We start from the raw sequence: 15,026 nt of genomic DNA, 5'->3' as shown, positions 1-15,026 counted from the left end.
CTGCCCTAGGAGGGGACAGCTCCATACATGCCACCGCCCCTGAGGACCTTCTAATGGGACAAGACGTGAAGGCGGAAGACAGTGAGGTGGGTGATTGTGACCCTGTGCAGGCCTAGGCTACTGTGTGTGTGTGTGTGTGTGTATATATATGTTAGCTTTTAAGAAAAAAGTTTAAAAAGTAAAAAAAAATAAATAAATTTTAAAATAGAATGAAGCTTATAGGATAGGGATATAATAAAGGAAAATATTTTTGTACAGCTGTACTTGTTTGTGTTTTAAGGTAAATGTTATTACAAGAGAGTCAAAAAGTTATGAAAATTAAAAGGTTCATAAAGTAAAAACATTACAGTAAGATATCAAAGAATGAAAATATTTTTAAACAGATTTGGTGAAGCCTACACGTACAGTGTTTATAAAGTCTCCAGCAGTGCACAGGGACATCCGAGGGCGTCCCATTCACTCGCCACTCAGGCACTGGCTCACCCAGAGTAACTGCTCGTCCTGCCAGCTCCATGCATGCTAAGTGCCCTATACAGATGGGCCATTTCTAATCTTTTATACTGTATTTTTACTGTACCTTTTCTATGTTTAGCTACACAAATTCTGTGGGGTTTTTTTTTTTTTTTTGAGATTGGGTCTCACTATGTTGCCCAAGCTGGTCTTGAACTCCTAAGCTCCAGGGATCCTCCCAAGTAGCTGAGACTATAGGTGCAACTACTGCACCCCGTTTGGACACACAGTTTCCTGCCATTGTGTTACAGTTGCCCACAGTATTCAGTACAGTCACAGGCTGACCAGGTTTGTAGCCCAGGGGCAACAGGCTGTACCATACAGGCTGGGCGCATCGGCTCTGCCTTCTAGACCTGTGTGAGTAGACTCTGTGATGTTCACGCGAGGAGGACATCACATAAGGACACATTTCTCAGAATGCATCCTCGTCGTGAAGCGACATACGATTGTACAGGGACGAAGCATAGAGCAGTGGCTGCCCCGGGGGGAGGATGGGGAAAGGATTTTACTAGAAAGGGACCTCCTGAGGGGATGCTGGGGGCTGGTGGCACTGTCCCACTCATGGTGACAGTTGCATGGGTCTGACAGAGTTGTGCACCGTCTGTTCGTGGCAGTGGCTGAGTGTTTACATACGGCCTAACCCATCCAACACTTAAAATGGACGAATCTTAGTATATTTAAGTTGTACCTCCAAGTTAAACCAAAAATGCAAAATTCAAGTGCGCACACCGATATTACTCGCCATGCACAGAGAATGTCATTACATATGGCTCCGTCTCATCTGTGGTATATGTTTGGCTGTATTTTATATTAAAATAAACCACGTCAAGAAAAAAATGAAAAAGAACAGACAAGATGCACACATAGCAACCCAGATGGATCTTTTTAAAAAAAGTGCTTATGGAAAAAAGTTAAAAACAGATTGAGATCTATAACAATATAGTTTAAATAAATAGACACTTTGATAATTGTGCCATGGTTATATAAGATGTTAATGACGGGGGAAACTTGTAGGTGGTAGAGCAGTGCTTTCTATACAATCTTTGCAACTTTCTGTTGCCTAAAATTATTATCAAATAAAAAGAACACTTGAAAAAAAAAAAGACATATTAACTAAATTAGAGTAGCTGCTTATCGGTTGGGGGGCGGATTATGGAGATTCAAGAGCATAAATAAGCAAGAACGGGGCTTCCCATGGGCCAGCATGATGCCAGGCAATGAGTGGGATTAATTTGGCCTTCTCCACACGGACAACAGAGTTACAGTCAACAGGTGTTTGCCAGCAGGACTTGGAAAGCCTGTGCTCCGGGAAGAAGGAGAGCATGACATCTTAGAAGGAATGGTGACAAAGGAATGGCTAAACATATAAGTCCATATAACCAGGGCTGTCTACTGATGAGGATAATCCTGTCTCATTCATAGCGTTGTACATACAGAGCTCAAATGATAGACAAAGCTACCATGGAAGCCCAACGAGAATGAGTAAAGTCTTCTGAGGTCCTTGTACCGTTTGAAAGAGAGTTCATAGACTGATGCATTTTAGAACCAGTTAAATAATGGTTATAATTTCAAAGGTAAGCTGAAAAGGAATAGAAAGAATCTGTAAGATTTCCATATGAATAAGAGGTAAAACTGCATTAAAAATCAATACTTTAGGTCAGGCATGGTGGCTCACGCCTGTAATCCCAGCACGTTGGGAGGCCAAGGCAGGAGGATCACTTGAACCCAGGAGCTCAAGACCAGCCTGGACAACATAGTGAGACCCCATCTCTGCTAACAAATAAACAAACAAATAAATTATCCAGGTGTGGTGGTGCCCGCCTGTAGTCCCAGCTACTCAGGAGGCAGGGGCAGGAGGATCACTTGAGCCCAGGAGTTTGAGGCTGCAGTGAGATATGATTGTGCCACTGAGCTCAGCCTGGGTGACAGAGTGACATCCTGCCTCTAAAATAAAGAAAGAAATACTTTAAAAATGCAGTCCCTTCGAAAAATCAGAAAAGGAGTTTTGTGGTTCTTTTTTTTGTTGTTGTTGTTGTTTTTTTTTTTTTTTGAGAGACAGGATCTCACTATGTTGCCCCATCTGGTCTCACACTCCTGGCCTCAAGCAACCCTCCCACCTCAGGCTCCCAAAGTGCTGAGATTACAGGTCTGAGCCACCATGCCCAGCTGAGAATTGAGATTTTTTTTAAATTAGAGTAAAAACAAGACATTAATGCGGCACTAAGACAGAGTACCAGATCCAAATACAGCAACCATCACCCAAAAATAGGAATAAAAAATTAAAAGCCAGATTCTCTGATTGGATTTTAAAAGTCCAGTTCTATGCCCTTACATGAGACATACCTAAAATTTGAGAATAAACCCACAAAAATGTTATTTAACAAAGGACGATGAGGGTATTTATATTAATATCAAATGAGATAGACTTTAAGCCAAAAGAAAAAAACATTATTATATAGAGAGATGGTTACTTCAAAATGACAAAAATTCAAATCTCCAGGAACATATAATAATTCTGAACTCATATTCCTCAAAACATACTAAGCAAAATTTGGTAGAATTACAAAGAAAAAAGAAACAATCTACTATCATAGTGGGAAATTTCAATACTTCTTTCCAATTCTTGACAGGTCCAGCAGATTCAAAATAATTGAAAGTTAAAGGAGACAAGAAATCCGAACTGAAGTGCTTCTCTTCCTCCCTCTCACATACTCAAATACAGCACAAGATACTTGTGTGACCAGCCACGGGGTCGCTTCCCCACACACTGAGCGACTGCAGTGGACACTGCTGGGTATCCTCAATTCAATCCCGACGCCATCCATCTCGAGGTCGCGTCAGATCCCGCAAGTCGAGGGCTCAGTCCCACACAACGACCCCACTTCCAATGCTAGTGCTTCTGACTAGCACCGTGGGAATCAGGGTTCCCACGACCCTCTCCTTGGGTCTGATGACTTGCTGGAGCGGCTCACAGAACTCAGGGACACACTGAGCCGCGTCTACCCATTTATGACACAGGCTGTGACGAAGGTGCGGATGCACAGCAGGTGGGGGAGACGTGTGGGCAGGCACGGGGAGGGGCGCGGAGCTCCCAGGCCCTCCCAGCACCACCTCCAGGCACCTGCGTGTGTTCAGCTATCTGGGGGCTCCCCAAACTGTGTCCTTTTGGGGTTTTATGGAAGCTTTATTAGGAATGCATGATTGATTACATCATTAGCCATTGGTGATCAACCTTCAGCCTCTCTCCCCTGCCCAGAGGTGGGAGGTGGGGCTGAAAGTCCCAACCCTCTGATGCTGCCTTGGTCTTTCCAGTGACCAGCCCCATCTTGAAGCTGTTTCAGGGACATCAGTCATCTCATTAACATACAAAAGAAGCACTTGTCACTCTGAAGATTCCAAGAGTTTCAGGAGCTGTATGTCAGGAAATAGGGGTGAAGATTAAATATATATTTCACAATATCACAATGAGGTAGGAAGCAGGACTCAACTCTGGAGGTGGGGCTCAGACACAGGACTGAATTGAGGACTAGCTAAAATGGGGCAGGGTAGAAAGACCTTTCCAGAATACATGCCCACCAGTGTGCCTGTTGGTTTACCATTGCCATGGCAACACCAGAAGTTAGTACCCCTTTCCATGGCAGTGGAATTTACCACTCTTTTTCTTGAAATTGCTGCATAATCTGCCCCTTAATTTGCATACGATTAAAAGTGGGTATAACTATGACTGCGGAAGTGCCTCTGAGCTGCTTCCCTGGGCTCACTGCCTATGGGGTAGCCCTGCTCTGCAAGGAGCAGTCCCTCTGCTGCGGCTGCCCACACCACTTCAATCAAAGGTGCTTCGAACACCACTGGCTCGCCTTCAAATTTTTTGTTGAACAAAGCCAAGAACCCTCCAGGCTAAGCCCCACTTTTAGGGGCTCACCTGCCCTGCATCAGCAAGGGTACAGAGGATTTGAGCAATAGAATTGACCAGCTTGGTTTAACTAACATATAAATAACTACGCACTCAGCAATTGTAAAAGAGGTGTGAAATATTTATAAAAATTAGTCACATACTATGCAACAAAGCAATTCACATATAGATTACATTTTATGACAACATAATTAGAAATCACAAAAAGATTTCTTAAATCTCATGGTTTGGAACTTTAAAAACACATATAAAACAACATATATCCATAAAACAATCATAATGGAAATTTAAAAACCAATACAACTGAATGGTAATGAAAATAATACACACAGAAACTTTCAGGGTGGAGCTAAAGTAACCCTTTGAGGGAAATTTGTAGCCTAAAATGCTTATATTAGACAATAACGAAGGCTAAAAATGAATGTGTTCAGCTTTCAGCATAAAAAGTTTTTTCATTCCTCATAAACACAAAGAAGAAGGAAGGAGGTTATAAAGATAGGAGCAGGAATGAGTGAAGCGGGGGGCATAACACAGGGGAACCACAAAGGCAAAAGTTTGTTCTTTGAAGTGAATGATTAAATAAGCAAGTTGAATAACATAAAGAGAGAAGCCACAATTCAGTGTTAGGGGTGACAAAGGGGACCTGACTGCAGACACATCAGAAATAAAAGAATGTTAGGAGCAATGTGATTCCAATACATTTGAAAACTTAGTTGAAATAGTTGGATTTCAGAAAAGCACAATGCACTAGAAGTGAGTCAAGAAGAAATAAAAAGCCTGAATAGCTCCGTAGTTAGTTGCTGACAAGAAGGACTCTTAAGGAGAAAGGCTGGAGAGTGTGGAGGGAGGGAAAGGCCTGGTGTAAAAGACCTTATGAGGAGCTGATTGGGAGGGAGGCAGGCTGGGGCTGGAGGTGCCGGACCCAGCAGAAGCAGAGAGCACAACTTCTCCACTGTGAGCTCTGGGAGAATGAGAGAGGTGGGGCATATAGAGCCAGTGCAGCTTTGAAGATGCTGTAGGTGCCTCCCACCTGAGATCTGTGTCAGGGCCTGGCCTACCCTTAAAATTTATTTGACCAGCACTTAGAATAGTCCAGGCCCAGATAATTAATACATCAACATGGGGTCTTCCTTCTTGTTTTGTTTTTGGAAATGGAAATTGCTCTATTTTTTCCGTGATAATACTCCATCATTACAAATACGTCATGCACAGGTGCCCAGTGTAGACCAAAAATAAAATTCTAAGTCCTCCAACTGACCAAATGGACCCCCTTCTTGGCCAAGGGGATTCCAAAGAAACCTAAAAATAACAAGTTCAGGTTGTGATGAGAAGGAGGGATCAGACATGCCTCATTACACTCTCCTCTCTTGGGAATTCAGGCACAAAACTGATCAGCATTAACATTAAACAGAAATCTTAAGACAGACCGAACAGACTCTTTGTAGAAATAACAGCAAATTCGAACCTGACTCCAGCATAGCATAGCATAACAGTAGGCTCTGAAAGAAATCAAAGGATTTTACCCCAAAGTATATTTCTTTGACATATTTTGAAATGCCCCTGCAAGGCTGTCTCTTGTGGCGGAAATTTACATTCTGTAGAGAATCCTCCTCCCTTTCCAGGTCTTTTTCTGACCTTGAAGAGATTAGCTGAGAGTCTAGCCTAACATCTTTTAAAGGTTGAATAGCAAACATTTGCCATCTACTGCCTCTAAGGGTGGCCACCTATGAGACTTCAACTACATGCTAACTTTGGTCTCCACAAACTCTTATCTTAACTTAAACACCCTTTCTATTGATTCCAGGTCTTTAGATAATAACTCTTCCAACCAATTGTGAATCAGAAAATCTTTAAATCCACCTATGACCTGGAAGCTTCTGTTTCAGGATGTCCCACCTTTCTAGAACAAATATATACGTCATGTGTATTGATTGATGTCTTAAGTCTCCCTAAAATGTATAAAATCAAGCTGTACCCCAACGACTTTGGGCGCAGGTCCTCAGGCCCTCCTGAGGCTGTGTCATGGGTCATAATCCTTAAACCTGGTGAAGTAAATCTCGAATGATGATGACGCCTAAGTACACCACCACGACAGCCTGGATGCCTGGGCTCGAATCCCACCACTGGTTTAGCTCTGTGACTGGGCAAGTCACCTACTCTCTCTGTGCCTCAGTTTCCTCTTCTGTGCTGGGTGGTGGTTACAAAGGCCTGCATCACTGTCCCTCATCCCCGTCATCAGTGCCATGGGTAAGGGCACACGTCATTCTGTGCTTTCTCTGGTCTGCACTGAGGTCTACACTGAGGTCCCTTCTCTGGGAGCTTCTACTAGGAGTCCTTGAGCCACCAGCATCATCTCTGCAAGCCTGGCACACACCTGGGAGGTGTTGCATAGAGACCCGTGGGCCACGGAGACCAACAGGACCCGTGAGATGTGAACAGCCACTGCCCTCTGCACATGACTGCTGTTCCTCAGCCTGGACCCATGGCCTGGCCTCCACCTCACCTCTCCTTGCCAGGCCTGCTCGGCTTAATCTGCCCACCTCTCCTCCAATGGCTGCCTGTTCCTGGTGCATTGCAGGTACGCACCTGGAGGCAGGGGCAGGTGGCCCCTTCCCAGAACACTCTGTGGCCTCTTTCCCCAGGGCCCCTCTCAGACTTCTCAGCTGTCAGATGCTGATAAGAGCCTCCTCTGAGCATACCTGGTGTGCATACCAGGTTCGGGGGAACCCCTGTACTGCAGGAAACTGCCTGCCCCCCGCCAAAGCCTGCTATAAGGCACGTGGCTTTGGAGAGACTCAGAGGCAGGGGTGAGGCGAGGCCAGGACAGTGAAGAGGGAGGCACCACTGAGGTTTGGGGCCAGGAGTGCTTCTGGCAGCTACAGGCACAGACTGCCTGGAGGATGGCAACAGTTGGGTGGGGGCGCGGACTGGGACTCTTCTAGGGTTGGCCAAGCAGTGGTCCAGGCCCCAGCTGTGTGACCCTGGCCACATCACATCTTAGTGACCTGTTAGTGACCTGGGGTTGGCCCAGAAAGAAATCCCCCACAGCAGCCCCGGGGTGGGGCCTGAGCGCTGAGCCCTTCTCTCCAAGCCAGCAGGGGGCGGGCTCTGGCTGAGAGCCTGAACTTCCTAAACCTCCAAGGGGTACAAGCCCTGGCCCATGCCGCCCAAGCCACCAGCCTTGGCTCAGCGGCCACTGGTGACATCAGCATCCTTCAAGGCTGGCCCTACATGGGTGCCGACTACCACCCGCCTCCACCACCTCCAGGCTCAGCCAGGTCCCCTCTTCCGGGAAGCCATCAAGAGTGGGAGGTCCAGTCCTTGCCCTGCACCCTCCCTGCCTACCCTCAAGGTCCTGTCACCAGACTGTGCCCATCCCTCTCCTCCAATAAAGCAGCCCCTCCAGACCTGTCCCCTCCCTCCTCTTCCCTGCCCTGGTTCCCAAGGCACACCCTTGTCCTTCTGGGAGGTTAAGCGTGGCCCGGTGGAGGAACTGGGCAAAGTCCATGAGAAGCTTCCCCTCTAGGGGCAGGGGGTCCCTCAGCTTAGCAGGGTCAGGGAAAGATCAGGAAGGACACGGAGGAGAGGTGGGGGGTGGGAAGAGAAGGAGCACCCCACCCCTGTGCACACTGCAAGGCAGGAGGGGCCACGCCCAACCCGGAACCCCTGGGAGAGGCCGAGGAGGTTGCTGATGGGGGTGTTGCCTCCTTCCTCCCCCCACCTCCCCTTCCTGGGCAGGGTCCATATGGTGTTCCCAGAGAGCCATACTGAGCCCAGCGACACCTCCTCTGCCTTCCTAGGACAGCTGGGAGCCATCCCCCATTTCTCCAGAGGCTGGTCTGGAGGCTACCATGCTGCCCCCCAGCCCCAGGTGGGGTCCTGCTTCTCCCGGGAGCCAGGCAGGGGCACTGCCCTTTGGAGCCAATGTCCTCTGCGACTTGGGGGAAGGGTCTGAATTTGATTATTCTAAGATTCCGTACGTTTAAATACAAGTTTCTAGGCTAGGAAATGCTTTGATTCCGTAATTATAAATTTCAGGACTCTAATGGGAAGGGCTGCCATCTCTCAGTGGGCTCCGGGTGTCTAGAATGAGCCAGGCTGCCCAGGCCTCTGATCCGGCCGCCGGCCCTCTGGGGGAGACCCTGTGGCCCTGGGAGGGAAGGTTCTGGAACACAGCTGACGTGCGTGGTGATGGTTCAGGCTTCCGGTTCTGCCAAGGCCTTATTTGGAGGAGTTTCCGCTGTGCGTGGGGTGGGCGGCTCGCACGTTCACCAGCTATTCGGAGATGTTCCTCCCTCCCGATTATTTTTAGGACCTGACAAGATACTCCAGAGCCCGCTGCTTCCGACACCTTGAGAAGCGCCAAGTCACAGACTGCTGGCCCTGGAAGGGCTCTCAGCTGGCACCTGTGGGGAAACTGAGGCCCAGACGGGGAGGGTCTGAGGCAGGGCCAGGAGTGGGCCTGGGTGGCCGGGCACCCTGGGAGGAGTCTCACCTGTCTGCCGGTCCCTTCAGGGGCTGCTCTGAGCTGAGCCGGCCAGAGACACAGGATACCGGGTGGGCAGAGGTGTGCTGCTTGGGGTCTTCAGAGGGGACTGTACTATCACTGCAGGGGTCTGAGAGCCCCCCGGGGCCACAGGGAGCAGGCTGCAGAGCAGGGCTGTGGTGGAAGCCCACTGGCCCCTCCCACTTATGCACTCCCAGGTCTGGGCCTCCAGGGAGGTGCTCGGCCCTCCCCAGGACAATGCCTCAGAGCCAAGAAGCTTGTGGGGCTCTAGCAGGGCTGGGGAGACGGCGCCGGTCAGAAGAGGCTGCCTGGTCCCTCCTGATCCTGCTCACCTCCCAGGCGGTGAGCAGCTGGAGGGGTGCGGGCAGTGCCTGGGTGAGATACCAGCTGCTCTGTCACCTCAGGGCACTTCAGAACCCCCTGCCAGGGGCCCTCCAGGCCCTGCACTCCAGACACAGGCCCAGGCCTCTCCAGGCCCTGCACTCCCCCTCCAGGCCCTGCCCTCCCCCTCCAGGCCCTGCACTCCCGCTCCAGGCCGAGGCCTCTCCAGGCCCTGCACCCCCACGCAGATGCCTCCCCTGCTTCCAGTCTCAGGACAGATCACAGGGAGCTGGGGGTCAGGGCAGCAGGGCTGAAAAGGGAACTCCTGGCTAATGGAAGGTTTTGGAATAAATTCTGGAGTAGGACGCACACTATGCAATTGCTCCTCTGGAGTTGAGCCCTCTGGGAAGCAGGGCCTGGGGAGGTGGGTGGGCCCAGCGGGAGGGTCAGGCCTTCATGCCGAATGAGACCAAGAGAGGTTAGAGGATGGCCCCACTAAATGGTCATGATGCAGCCCAGACAGTGGTGGTGGTCGGTGGTGGGGGTGGTCAGTCAGGATGGAGAAGGGGAAGAGGGAGAACCGAAGAGCAGAGTCTGCTGAGGGGAACAGGGGCCCTCACGTTGCAGCCTAAGGCATGCAGGTTCGACTCACGGAAGGACTTCCTGACAGCAAGCTCTATTACTGCTGGATTGGGGCCAGGGAAGTGGGGTGAGAGAGGTGGTTGTGAAGGGCCTTGCCAGAAAGAGCCTCTGGCCTGCCTAGAGACAAAGCCACTTGGTGCAGGGGGTGGGGGAACCTTCTTAGGCTTCCTTCCCCTTCTGGCATTGTTTGTGTCGGCGACAGGAAGGGGAATGAGCAGATAGGAGTTAGGTGCGAAGGAGCTTCCTCCACATCTCAGGAGTGTGGGTGCTGACGAGACGCACAGCGCCTGGGTGGCTGCCACTCCTGTCTGCTCCACCTCCAGGTGACTCAGAGACTGTAGTCATTGTCCTTATGTATCCTTTCTTCCATCTACCCATCCATCCCCCATCCATCCCCCATCCATCCACCATCCATCCATCCACCATTCATCCATCCACCATCCATCCATCCCCCATCCATCCACCCACTCATCCACCCATCCATTCATCTACCCATTCATCCATCCACATGTCCATCTATCCATCCATTCATCACTATCCATCCATCCCCCATTCATCCATCCATTCATCCATCCATCTATCCATCTATCCACCCATCCACCCTTCCACCCATCCATCCTTCCATCTATCCACCCATCCATCCTTCCACCCATCCATCCTTCCATCTATCCACCCATCCATCCTCCAGACGCTCCCAGTTTATGAGTGAGGAACAGAGTAAGCTGGCAAGATAATAATCTCCAAGCCTATAAGCACCATCATTACAACAGATATTGTGGTGGCTGCTGTCTTGGGCATCACCAGCACCCAAAATCACTCTCCAGCACCATCACCATCACCACCATCATCATCATTATCACCACCATCATCACCATCATCACCATCATTACCACTATCACCGTCGCAACCATCACCACCATTATCACCATCAGCACTACTGTCACCATCATTATCATCACCATCATCACAACCACCAATATCTGCAGCCCCAGATCTGTCCACGAAACTGTCACCACCACCTTTGGCCCCCACAGTGCTCCTGCCAATCACAGTGCCTCCACCATTCTCAGCCCTGCAGTTCTCCCTAGGGCAGGTGCCGCTGATGGTGACAGATGGAGGGTGTCAGAGGAGGTGGTCTCAGCTTCACCAGTGACAAGTTGCTGAGGAGAGTGGCACTTATACAAGGAAGCCAAGACAATAGAGTAAACACAAGGCCCCTGAAGATCTTTCTGGCAAACTGTTCAGCCCTGGACTCCACAGGAAAGAAGTAGCTTCGGGTGGAGGCAGTGGCAGATGGACATGACACTGGTGTCCACAGGAAAGCAACCCATTGTGGGGAGGGTCAGGGAATTCAAGGTGGGGGAGCTGGGTTGTGGGTACAGCCTCGCTCTCAATGCCTGTGGGACACCAGCCACCCGGAGTCTGCGTGTCCTCACCTACAGACAGAATCGTGGTCCCTGCCTTGCTCAGTGTCAAGGGCCCATCACTCCGAGCAGCTGGATGAAGCAGAGGGAAAGCAGCAGAAGTTTGGGAAGAGGCGCCTGTTCCAGCTTGGAGCATCTCCGTGGCCTCTGGCCCAAAGCACTGCCCAGCACAGGGCTCACGACAAGAAGGTGCCTGGGGCAGACGCAAGCAGGGCTCCAGGGTTGATGAATCTCCTGGGATGATCCCTGGCCAGCTTCCTGCTCCGAGAGACAGAGGGAAGAGAGCAATTTCTGTGATGCATCATTGTGAGAGGTCACAGAGTATTGAACAGCTGTGAACATTGGGGTCGGGCAGGACATGGGATATAGCCTCTCCTGGCACAGACATGGCCTTCTGGGAGGGGTGGACCACAGTGAAGGAGAAACGGGACTCTGGCTGAGACTTAGTCTTCACCATGGGGACACTGAGCCCTGCCCCTGATCACACGTTGAGCCCTGACCTTGGCCACTCTGAGCCCTGATTCCGGCCACAGGCTGAACCCTTATTCTGGTCACAGGCTAATCTCTGACCTGGTCACACTGTAAGCCCTGACCCTGGCCACACACTGAGCCCTGCCCCTGGTCACTCTGTGTGTCTGACCCCAGCGGCTCACACTGTCCTGAGTTGCTCCTGCCCCTGGTCACTCTGTGCGTCTGACCCCAGCGGCTCACGCTGACCTGAGTTGCTTCCTTCGCAGGCAGGGTTGTGTGGCTTGGGTCCTTTCTTGTTATTTGTTGTTTTGTTTTGTTGCAGCTTCTCCTGTTATTGGGTGTGAACATGGGGCCAGGAGGTCAGGGAGCTGGCCAAAAACTTGTTCTGGCCACTCCACAAGGACGGGGTGACCTGAGTGGAAGCCCCACCTCCAGAACCTGCCCCAGGCTCTGTGCTGCCTTCTGCAGGGGAGGAGCTGGGTGCTCAGCGCTTTCTCCACCTGCTTCCCAGGGGCCTCCCAGGTTCTTTCCGTAACTTAGGATGAGGAAGGGACCACAGTCCACAGCCTCTCATCTGAAACCCTGGTGCCAAGTGGGATCTGTCCGGGTTAAGAAAGAAGGTGTGATGTGTGTGATATTTCACTTAGTATCCTGGGAGGGGCCTAATAAAGTGCATCAGCATCCCTGCTGCAGAACATATGTGTGTGTGCGTGCAGCGGTTCAAAGGAGCTTTAGATATGTAGTGTGACTCGGTTTCCATCAGGTTTTGTTGTCCAATCTCGTCAAAACATTCTGGTTTTCTGGGGTGCTCAGATCCACAGCTCAGGGACTGTGCTTCTCAACTGCTGGAACCCGGTGACTTTGCACCATCTCCTCTGGGCTACTGCAGACACACCACCCCGTTCCCGGTCATCTGCTCAACGTCCACCCACTCAATGCAGTCAGTCATGGCCACACGTGACCATCTGTGATCACCCATGGTCACTGTGGTCACTGCACCCTCCAAGCACCTTCCCCGTCCCGCCCTGTCTGCTGGTGAGGACTCTGGGGTCAGGAGTGACAGGGCACAGTTGAGGTTGTAGGGGTGAGGGGGTGCTAGGCTGTAGCCGCCTCTGCAGCTTGGCGCGCATTGCTCTCCAGGCCCAGGCTCTGTGCAGCATTTTCTCCCGGTCCTGGGGCCCTGCAGGGTGCAGCACACAGTCGGAGGGGGGCCCCTCCTTCCCCGCTATTGTCCCTGCCAGCCTTGTGGCTTCCCCCAACTAGGCTCCCTTCGGGGGTTCAGGCTGCCCCCTGCTGGAGACACAGAGGGAAGCAGGACGTGCATCTCAAAGCTCCTGGGGTGGGAGGAGGGTGTGGAAGGAGGGTCCTCCTTCTGGGCTGGTGGGGGATGGCCTAGGGGTGTTCACATAGGCTCCCCATGCCTCCCCGGACAAACGGGGCCGAGGCCTGGAGACAGGAAGTGCCCCAGCAATGAAGAGGGGACCCAGAACTGTGCCTGCCCCAGGGCAGAGGCAGGAGCAGAGGAGGGCAGAGCCCCAGGTGGGCGGGAAGGAGGTGGGAGCGCTGAGAGGGAGGCTTCCTCCCTGCCTTGGAGTCCCTGCCCCCACACGCATTTCCACTGTGTCAGACTGTTTTAAAGAATTGGTGTGTTCATGCTGTCCCTCCTGAAAATGACTCAAGGAACAAGGGGAGTGAAATGTGTCCCCACCAAGGGGCCTAAGAGCTGTGTGAAGCTCACGTACTAAGGGTCGGGGGTAGCCAAGGGCACCAGCACTTGGGGTTCCCTGAATGTTCCCAGAGCCCCAGGGAGAGGGGACGCCTTGGGAGCCACGTGACCACTGGCCTGGGAGTCCAAGGCCCAGACGTCCAGGCCCAGGGCAAAGCAGGAGCTGCAGGGCCCACCTGGCCTCCACAGTCCTCCTGGCCCAGGGATGCGGGGACACCAAGGCCAGGCAGAGGACTTCACCCCAGCAGCCAGGGCTGGGTCAGGGCCCCGGGCCGCACAGAGGGAGGCCACACAGAGAGGAGATGGGTTTTTAATTCTTTTTATTGAAGAAAAGAAAAGGAGAGAAAAAATAGATTCCCCCCTGCTTCTTCCTGGAGGGGACTCAGTCCTGCCCCTGGGGGCCATGAGGGTCGGAGGGCTGTGCCCTCCACCTGGGTCTAGGAGGGGCCTAGGGCCCTGGAAGGTGTGGGGAGCTGGCTGCTTCCCGAGGGATGGGGGTGTTTAAAAAACGGTGCCAGGCCGGCCGGGCCAAGCAGGCAGCTCCTCCGCAGCAGGAGCTCAGGCGGGTACCCTGGGACGCTGGCCGCGCTGGGCCTGTCCACGGTCCACAGCCGTCCGCCCATCTGCCCGCTGGGCCTCGGCCCGAGGAGGGCGGAGTCTGAGGCACCTTCGGCCTCTGGTGCCCTGTGCCCGCTGGCCGGGCCGCCTCCTGTCCTGCATCTGGCTCTGGTCCCAGCACTGCGGGCCCTGTGCCTGGCCGCCGTCTGAGCGCCCTGAGGCCGGGGTGCGGGCCTGGCCCGCTGCCCGCGAGCGTGTCTGTGCCCGTCTGCGGCAGGAGCGGGCGGAGCAGCATCCCTCCTCCGTGGCCCAGTGCGTGGCCGCCGCCCACCCGCTCAGACCTCGGTCTGGAGGTCGATGATGTCCTGGCCCACCAGCGGGATCGTGGCGCCCGACCTCTCCCACTCCACGCTGCGAAGCTCCAGCGGCGACGGCTGCAGCGGCTCCAGCTCCTTCTTCACCCACGTGGGCGTCCCGTGGGCTTTCCGGAGGCTCTCCCAGGGCCTCTTGTTGGGCGTCTGCTGCTTTTCCGGCTGCTGGGTGGCCCGTGGTGCAGGAGGGGTGGGGCCCGGAGGGAGAGCCATGAGCCCGAGGAGTAGGGGGGAGGAGGCAGACACGAATCAGTGAGGAAGGGACGGGAGGTGGGGGACAGGGGACAGGGGACAGGATGAGGCTTTCAGGACAAGAGCCCAGAACAGAGCTGGGCAGCGGCAGGCACAGATCCTCTCCCCAGCCTTGGCAGAGGTTGCGAACCCCACGGTCGGGTCAGGCTGTGGGGACCCTGCCCTGGATTGGCTCCACCCCAATCCAGACCCCTGGCCCCAGGAGCAGGCTCGTGACCGCTCAGCTCCCAGTATGGCCATGGCCTCCAGAGTCTGGCATGGCAGGGTCAGGCCAGCCCTCAGGGATGGGCGAATGAATGAATGAATGAACGAATGGATGGATGGATGGATG

At 52.7% G+C, this 15,026-nt stretch overlaps 1 protein-coding gene across 18 annotated transcripts in view, besides 3 other annotated features; it reads right to left on the bottom strand.

Moving 5' to 3' along the window:
- Nucleotides 3,002-3,501: an enhancer, noted in NCBI's record as "H3K4me1 hESC enhancer chr8:143636685-143637184 (GRCh37/hg19 assembly coordinates)". NCBI's record gives its function as "activates a minimal SCP1, AML or CMV promoter by ChIP-STARR-seq in primed H9 embryonic stem cells {active_cell/tissue: H9 hESC(primed)}" and the evidence as "EXISTENCE:reporter gene assay evidence [ECO:0000049][PMID:30033119]".
- Nucleotides 3,502-4,003: an enhancer, noted in NCBI's record as "H3K4me1 hESC enhancer chr8:143636183-143636684 (GRCh37/hg19 assembly coordinates)". NCBI's record gives its function as "activates a minimal SCP1, AML or CMV promoter by ChIP-STARR-seq in primed H9 embryonic stem cells {active_cell/tissue: H9 hESC(primed)}" and the evidence as "EXISTENCE:reporter gene assay evidence [ECO:0000049][PMID:30033119]".
- Nucleotides 12,330-13,256: an enhancer, noted in NCBI's record as "H3K4me1 hESC enhancer chr8:143626930-143627856 (GRCh37/hg19 assembly coordinates)". NCBI's record gives its function as "activates a minimal SCP1, AML or CMV promoter by ChIP-STARR-seq in primed H9 embryonic stem cells {active_cell/tissue: H9 hESC(primed)}" and the evidence as "EXISTENCE:reporter gene assay evidence [ECO:0000049][PMID:30033119]".
- ADGRB1 (adhesion G protein-coupled receptor B1) overlaps nucleotides 13,818-15,026 on the bottom strand; it is a 95,359-nt gene continuing 94,150 nt past the window's right edge. For 10 of the 18 annotated variants that reach the window (XM_047422057.1, XM_017013692.2, XM_047422059.1 and 7 more), the window contains one exon: nucleotides 13,818-14,605. In XM_047422057.1, the coding sequence (XP_047278013.1) occupies nucleotides 14,408-14,605 (198 nt within the window). In that variant the 3' untranslated portion in view covers nucleotides 13,818-14,407. Of the gene's footprint in view, nucleotides 14,609-15,026 lie in introns of all 18 variants that reach the window. The other 8 variants (XM_017013695.2, XM_017013691.2, XM_017013696.2 and 5 more) reach the window with 1 other exon arrangement.

The sequence above is a fragment of the Homo sapiens genome, chromosome 8, assembly GCF_000001405.40.
Source record: "Homo sapiens chromosome 8, GRCh38.p14 Primary Assembly".
NCBI lineage: Eukaryota > Metazoa > Chordata > Mammalia > Primates > Hominidae > Homo > Homo sapiens.
The sequence above is the reverse complement of the archived record's forward strand: the minus strand, read 5'-3'. Positions and strand labels throughout refer to the sequence as shown.